At 34.3% G+C, this 8,264-nt stretch overlaps 1 annotated feature.

Moving 5' to 3' along the window:
• Positions 4,303 to 4,362: an enhancer, noted in NCBI's record as "active region_8292". NCBI's record gives its function as "activates an Ori minimal core promoter by ATAC-STARR-seq in GM12878 lymphoblastoid cells {active_cell/tissue: GM12878}" and the evidence as "EXISTENCE:reporter gene assay evidence [ECO:0000049][PMID:35858748]".

Below are 8,264 nucleotides of genomic sequence, written 5' to 3' on the forward strand. Positions count from 1 at the left end.
TACTCGGGAGGCTGAGGCAGGAGAGTGGCATGAACCTGGGAGGCAGAGCTTGCAGTGAGCTGAGATTGCACCACTGCACTCCAGCCTGGGTGACAGAGCGAGACTCCGTCTTAAAAAAAAAAAAAAGAGGAATGCAGAGGAATGCATCTTTCCCTTGGTTTCTGTTTTCCAAAGCTAGGAAAAATTTCACAGAATTGCTACAAAATACTTTCTCTCATGTTCCATTGGCCAACTGAACCTCATGCTTATTCCTAAAGCAATTATTAGCGACGGCAATGGGGTTATCTTGATTGGCTTGCTTCAGTGGTTCTCAACCCTGGATGCAATTTAGTATCATGGGGAGAGTTAAAAAATATCAGTGCTTGGGCCACGCTAGAATAATTGAATCAGAATCTTTTGACATGTCCTAGGAAACCCCCAGGTGATTATATTATAATACATGATAAAGGTTGAGAACTAGGAACCTTAATGTACATCTAAAGTGAACTGGTGATCATGATTGCTGCAGTTATCTCTATACACTGAGGCTTTTGATCTCCCTCCAGGGCTGTGAACTGAAATGGAGAAATTGCTGCTTAGCATTCATTCATTGGCATTCACTCTTTCACCCAGCTTCTCTTATGTATATGAGTATATAAGTATAAGACAACTGACCAGGGTTAGAATCTGTGAACTGTGAAGATGATTGGATTGAGCAAGAATTCAGGTCTTAGCAAAGAATGATAAATTGAACTAATCAGTCAAGAATGTCCCCAAAAGACTTCCTAAAAATATATGTTCTTTTCTCTTTCTGGAATGTTTTATAGAAGTATTTAGGCCTAACCTTCAGATAATCTCATTAGTTCCTCTTATCAGTCATGCATTCCCTAATAGCAGGGATAACTACCTTACATGGACTTAGGTGTCAGAAACACTTGGGTAAGCTGATGCTACTTATATAGCTTCTCTAAGCCTCATTTTATTTATCTATAACACTGGTATAGTCATTTCTATAGCAGAAAGTTACTTTAAAAATTAAATTAGTTTATGAAGAAAAAGTACTTGGGCACGGTAAGAGCTCAGAAAATGAGCTGATGATAATGAATGGACCTGCATTTAATAGGTGATTACTAATTCATCACTAATATAAACCCAAATAACATATTTATGTATTATTTCTGTGTCTTGATATTTCTTGCCAGGACCCTTTCCTCTGTTATATATGTCTTTACTTTTTTTCTTGAGGTACTTTCATTTAACTATGTTATCTATATCTATATAAATATTAAAATCTTGGTTATGAAATTATCCTTCTCCTAAATTAATTTTATTCACAAAATTTACTGTTCACAAATTTAATTTGTATGCTTGTCTTTCCTTTACTCTGGTTCTTGGTGGGACTTGAGTGGGCAATTTTTTAAATTTTATCTTGGCTTCTCATTGATTAACTGTGCTTATAGCACAAATCCATTTTTTCCTTTTAAAAAATTTCTTTATTACCTTTTGCCTGAATCAAATATTTTCAGGTGTCTTGAATGTCTGTTTTCAGAATATATTTTAAAATTCCCAATACTAAAAAATATTGGCTGCATTTTTATCAACACAAAAATAATGGATGTGACAGTTTGAAAAATCTGCAAAACACAGGAATGTCATTTCCAGAGGACTCTTTTTTTAAAAAAAACAAACAAACAAAAAACTACTCTCCAACCTTCATTTCTGTTCCCTGGAAATGCTGAACTCCTTCCACTCTGGTGAGCCTTCTGTGCTCTCTTGCTTCTGGATCTCCCTGGGCTGTGTCCTCTCTCTTGACTAATTACCCCCTTTTCACCTAATTACCTTCTGCTCTTTCTCACCCTAGCTTCTGCTTCCCAGTCTAAACAGCTTTTCCCAACAACTCACTTCTGGTCCCATTTGCTAATTTCTGTGCCAACTCCTATTACTGTAGCACAGTTAGACCACACAAAATTGTTTAACTGTCCCCTTCTCTGAACTCTGGTGCACTTAAAAGGCATCATTATAGCCCAGTATGTAGCATAGTGCTGGACATATTTCCACATTTCATGAAAACTCTGTTTTTTCTCATGATACACACATGACAAAGGCCAGTAGAATTAAGGGTAGATGATCACGCATCTTCAGCATATTTTGTTTGCTTATGGATTTATTTTTCCTAAAATCCTCAAAACAGCAAGTATCCATCTCCTTTTATTAAAAAATTTTTCCATGTCACTGATATAAAATTTACTTTTTGCTTTCTTTTAAGTACAGCTGGTATGTTTGCTTTCATTGTTTCAGGAGGTAATCTTTTTTTTTCCCCCTCCTGGCTGGTGAAGTTGTATTTCTTACTTTTTCAGCACTTTATTTTAAATCCTAGCCTGCCTTTGGGAGATTTGTCTTGTGTTTCCCTACTGAATGATTTCTTCTGAGCCTGTTGCTATGAGGTGCAGTAATTTGATTTTGAGATTTCAAGGACAGAGTTTCAATTCTAGGCATTGGTTTTAGCAGCATGACCTTAGAGTGCTTTAGTCATTCTTTAATGCCAAGTCTTTTCTCTGTTCTATTTTTGCTGAAGGCATATAGATTTTACAAACATATTGGGCCTTTGAACACAATCATCCCAGCCAGAATTCTCTGGGATGTATTTAAGATGTGTTTATTTTGGATTAATAAAATAGGATTTTCTTTGACTTAAAAATATATTTTCCTGTCACAATTATACTCTCGTTTTCTTTAAACTATATTGATAACTTATTATTATTGATTTTTTCCATCTATATATTTGAATATATTTTTAAAGTTTATCTGGTTTCTTCTTTAATAGGATGTTACATATTCAAAATAATATTGTGATTATTGCCTTCTAAAATCTCAGAACAGTTGAGAAAATGTGCCTAGCAAGAGTAAATCATTATTTAAACTACAGTATTTGGATGACAGAATATTATAATTGATAAGTGAAGAAAATGTATTTGAGGATATTAATTTTTAGTAAAGTACCTGGTATAGGAAGGGTCTCATGAAAGTTTCTTAACTAAATTAATTAAATGGATTTGGCTAGAAACATCACAAATTAGATTAAAAATTGTCCCAAGTATCACAAACTAGATAATGATGATATTGCATGTTAAAGCAGGTAGCTTAGATTGCAGTTAGTAGAAAAGCTCAGCTTTGAATTTTATATAATTTTGTTATGAATGTCATGGAACTGAAAGAAATTGATAAAAATTTCAGTTTCCATGTAGCAGAAAATATCACTAAAATCTTGAAATTTCATGAAGTTATTGTGGACAGTTGTAAATATGATCATAGAACAACAAAGCAAGAGCTAATTTGAAAAAAAATGGAATCAAAATCGAGAGGATAAAATTTCATTTATGACCACAAATGATAATTTAAAGAAAAGTGAGTAGTTTTAATGTTCCAGGTTTCTTCTTTTATGCTTGATATTCTGCCTTGAGATTCTAACTGAGAAGTGAAGTCTTGGTCCTGTGTCCCTCTCTCTTCTCTCCTCTCAGAGAAGCCATCTACTTGGCGGGCTTCAGAGGTTACATCTGAGTTGATGACTTCCTCGCAGGTCTGTAGTGCTAGACTACGAGTTTGGTCCTGTGTCTCCATCCATCAACAGGGTATTTTCTCTTTTAGTATTGTCTTCATATGAAACACAAAATGCTAAAAGCGTTTAAAAATGGCCTTATATGTCTCACTCCAGGTTTCTTCTCCCACTAAACTTGCTCATTTCTGTAAAAGTGTGCTCATTCTGTAAAGTGTGCTGTAAGACTGAAATCTTAAGCTTATTTTTTATTTCTTTCTCCATTATTCTTCATGTTCAATGAATTCATCTAATGGGGACTGTTACTTCTTCCACGGTGTGTTTTTCTCATGGGAAACATCCTTAGTTTTCTGGCAAACTGAGATTACCTTGGGTGTAAATCTCTGTAAATAGTTTTCTAGCAGTTTCAGTGACCCCAGATTATCATTGACACCTTTGATCTTTTTTAACCTTTTGAGGTGGATATTATCCAGATCTTCCAGAATATGTGGTGAGCATCTTTGTTTCAGTCTAGTTATTTGTAACAATTTATATTTCCTCTAATCTTATTGAAATGACCGAAAGTCGTATGTGCACATGCATATGTGTGTACTAAAGTCGCTGTCTGTGCTGTAGCAGAAGTGATTCTGAGAAATATCTGGAAAGTATAGTGAAACCTTGAGTAATTTGTGAAAAGTATAGTGAAGGTAAGCTTGGACTGAGGTAAAGGAAAATACCATAAAAAGTAAATACCTAGGTTTCCACAAGAGTGCAGTGAACCACTGATGTCAGACCAGCAAAGACTGGGAGCAAGGCGTTGATGAAGCAGGCAGCAAATGAAAGACCTGAGGGCTTCCTCAGAGCCCAGCTCATGGTGGTGGGGTTGGTGGACATTCATCCTGAAGCTTCCTCTGGTAGTGAAGGTGGAAAGGCAAGGCTGGGGCTACAGTAATGGGCCAGTAATAAGGTGAATAAAGCAGCTAGTGAGAGGAGGTTCTCCTTCAGCTACCTTCAATCTGCTATAACAAACAGCAGGCTTTCCTTTTCAGTTTATCAACCGTAACTGGGACAGCATGGCCCCATTGAACTGCAAGAGAGGGTAGAAAAACATATCACCTTTTCAGCCTCTGTAGTGATAGTGAGAAAGGGAATGTGTGTTAAACAACTGGCAATGTTTGTCTTTATAGAAATCCAGACTAGAGTAGTAACAGTGAAGGACATTGAAAAATTTGTCCAAGAACTGTCTCCTATAAAAGTGCTCATCTCAGAAAGATTTAGAAGATTAGCGTTCTCCCTATGTTTTAAAAACATGAGATAATTCCAATGTTTAAGTCTTCTAAAATATATAGAATTAATGGGGAATCTTCAGTTTGTTTTATGAGACCTAATAGCAGAAAAATAGAAAACTACATATGAATATAGTTTAGGATGAGATAAAAATTTAAAAATAAAATATTAAGAAATAGAAATTAGCTGTATATTAAAGAAATACTATAATGAGATCAAGTGGAGTTCAGTATAGTGTCATGTGATTCAGTGTTATATTTCTACAAAAATTTTCTACAAAAATTTGGATGTGCAAACTGAAAGGTAGATTTGAATAAATGTGAGGAATTTTAAAATGCCTAGAATAAACTTAATAAACCTTCTGACATGGTTTTAAATATTCCCTTATGTGGGAGTACTTTAGGAAAAGCAAATGTTTGCTGAGTATTTTCTTTGTGCTAGAAACTTCATAGGCACAATATCATCTAATCCTCTTAAAAATTCTCAAGATAGGCATTATTCTATCTCCTTTTTTTACCGATGAGGAAAGTGAAGCTTAGAGAGGTTAATTAGCCTTACCTTAAGTAACCTTTGTCAGGTCTTAAATTTGATCTTGTCCTTTTTAGAAGCTGCTAAATAAGCTTATTAATGTTTCCTGGGTGCTAGCGGAAGATTTGAGACTCTAGGGTCAGAGACCAAAGACCTTATTACATATGGCACCTGAACATCAATGTATTTGTACTGGTTCCCCTTCAGCTGCAGGCCCCCGGGGGCAATGCAGTGGGTTCAGATGTCTGATCTGCACTCAAGTAGGTTTATATTGCAACTGAGGAATACAGAGATTGGAGAATCTACCACTTTTGTAGCAAGAGTAAGCAAGCCTGTTCTTTGTGAGAGCTGTGGAAAAGAAGACATTCATCTCTTAAAGTTATCAGCTGCATAACAACTCTGAGTAATGGATTGGGTAAAAGAGTAGTCATGGCCTTGCAATCTTGGCATTGTAAGAGATGTGAAAAAAGCTAGAGGTCTGACTACATTGTCTTAATAAGCTTCACCTCTAAATTTACTTACCTCAAGTGTTAGCAATCTTAATTCTTTGACAAGTATCTCATGCTTGTGATAAAAGTGATTTTGGTTTGATAAATTGATTCTTTTGAAATAAAAAAGTTAACAAAGTCTTACTTTTCCTGGATTTATATTCTAATACTTGTATATATTGACTTGTAAAATCAGGAGACGTTTAAAATATTTAGAAAAAGAATTTTGAGATTTCCTTGGTATTTTTAGACCATTAGTCTAAAAGGGACATTTAGGCTTTATTGATGATGATATTGCTCATTTCAAAGAAAACAAAACATTTTGAAGAAAAAGTATAAAATGAATTTAAAATCAATACAGAATTTATACTTTGTGCAGTTTGGATGTGCAAACTCCAAACCAATGGCTATATCATAGTATTTAAGTGGGCATGTGACATGGTTTAGATTTAGCATTTAACCTTTCAGACAGAGAATATATCTATGTCATTAAGTAATATATTCATGAGGCCTTTCCTAATTTCAAGTCCAACAGCTCTTTAGACACAAAGGCCTTTCTATTTTGTCCAAATCAATTTCTGCAGCTTTTAATATTTATTTTTTTAAACCGTCCTCTTCCTTTTAAAAGAAAATGTCAAGCTAACAACTTGGAGAACAGGTATTGCCAAGGGAAAAAAAAGCTGTAGTTTTTGGAAAACTAGACAAAATAGAATTTAGAGCTAAGATTTGCTAATTGGAAGCGTTCATAGAAACAAGAATGTTTTGAAGAATATTTTTCTCAGCATTGTGTGAGAAGCAGCAATTTCTGTCCTGCTGTTGTACTTAGAGCCTGTCGTATGACTTATTTCTTCTTTTCAAATAAGCCACTTTGCTGAGGCAGGAGTTTGCTTATCATTTCTATTCTGTGACTAACATTAGTCCTTTACCTAATTTTCACTTTCTAGGTGCTGGCTCTGGATGGCTCAGGTAACAACTCTAATGTAATTTCTGGATTGCTGTTTGCATTTAATAGGTATTAAATTAAATGTGCAATTGGTCGACTGGAGATAAAAGTATCATTGAGCTTTTGGCAAAAAAGCTTGAAGCATATATTACATTCCAATGGGAGAACCATTAGCTTTAATAACTGAATATGGATTGTTGGCATTTATTATCATTGTCAGAATGCTAATGCTCATTAGATTTTTAATGAGAGGATGGCAATAAAAACATGGCATAGAGTTAAAAATGGATATTAATTAGGGTATTAAAATGTCCTTATTTATGTAGTTGTGAAGAGGAAAGTTGGTAATTGAAGAAACACTTTGATAGTAGAAACATTTCCTCACTTCATTCCTTTTCTCTCCTACCTCTGTTATTAAACTATTATATAAATAGAGAAATAGAAAAAAAGGTAACAATATAACCACTTAAGGGAAATCTTTCAGACAAGTCCCTTGTGATAGGTATTTTTATGATGCCAGACAAATACAGATTTTAGCTATGGATGAACAGAACTATAATAAAGCACCATGTAATTTTATAAGTGAGAAAACATATAGATTATTGGTGCTTCTAAAGAGGCTTTATGGCATAAATTTAGAGTAGTTAAATAATAATAAATAACAAAGTTGCTGGGATTTAAAAATTCTGTCTTCACTACTCACTGGCCATTTTACTAAAACTCTGAACTTAAACTTTCTTATCAGTAAAATGAGAATGAAAAGTAAATGGAATACTCCATATAAACCTCATTTAGCATATTCCCTAGCACACAGTAGGGAAACACAAGTTATCTGTTATTATTTCTAATCAAGTAAACTAAGAATACGGCATGTTTAAAAACACAGCTTCAATCTAAATCTTTAACTGCTTTTGGCAAGTCTGTTCATTGTGGTGTATTTTGTTAAAGCCTTTAGAGCCCAAACACCCACATTTCATGCATGTCTCTTCAGCATTCCTTTAAATAAATTAAACTCAATGACCTTTATCAAGTGCCATTCCTTAGGGCTTGTGCCAGGTGTATGGATACACATATGAATGAGAAATAGCCTCTGACTTTAAAGAGACAATATTACACTATTAGCAAGTTTAGTACTTTGGATTTTGTTCAGCTTTTACTGGAATCTAGGATTTGTTTGTTTAAATAAAACGTGTCTAATTTATCAGTTACTAATGCCAAGCTATAAAATAAATACGTAAATATTTGTAAATTATATACTCTTACATTTCCTAGAAATGACCCAGTATCATATCTCTTTTCACTTATGGCACATTTCAAGATGACAAATGTACAAATAAAATTAACATGTTTTTATTGTTCATGTAGAATGAAGAATGGGGGAATTTTGAATGCTTACATAGCTATTCCTTGGTGAACACCTTTAGCCTAAGCTAAATTTCAGCTGTGGTAAATGTGCAGGTTGGTAGCAGAGCTCCCAGCTGCTCACTAGTATCAGTTTCTCAATCCC

The sequence above is a fragment of the Homo sapiens genome, chromosome 14 (genome assembly GCF_000001405.40).
Source record: "Homo sapiens chromosome 14, GRCh38.p14 Primary Assembly".
In the NCBI taxonomy this organism is placed as follows: domain Eukaryota; kingdom Metazoa; phylum Chordata; class Mammalia; order Primates; family Hominidae; genus Homo; species Homo sapiens.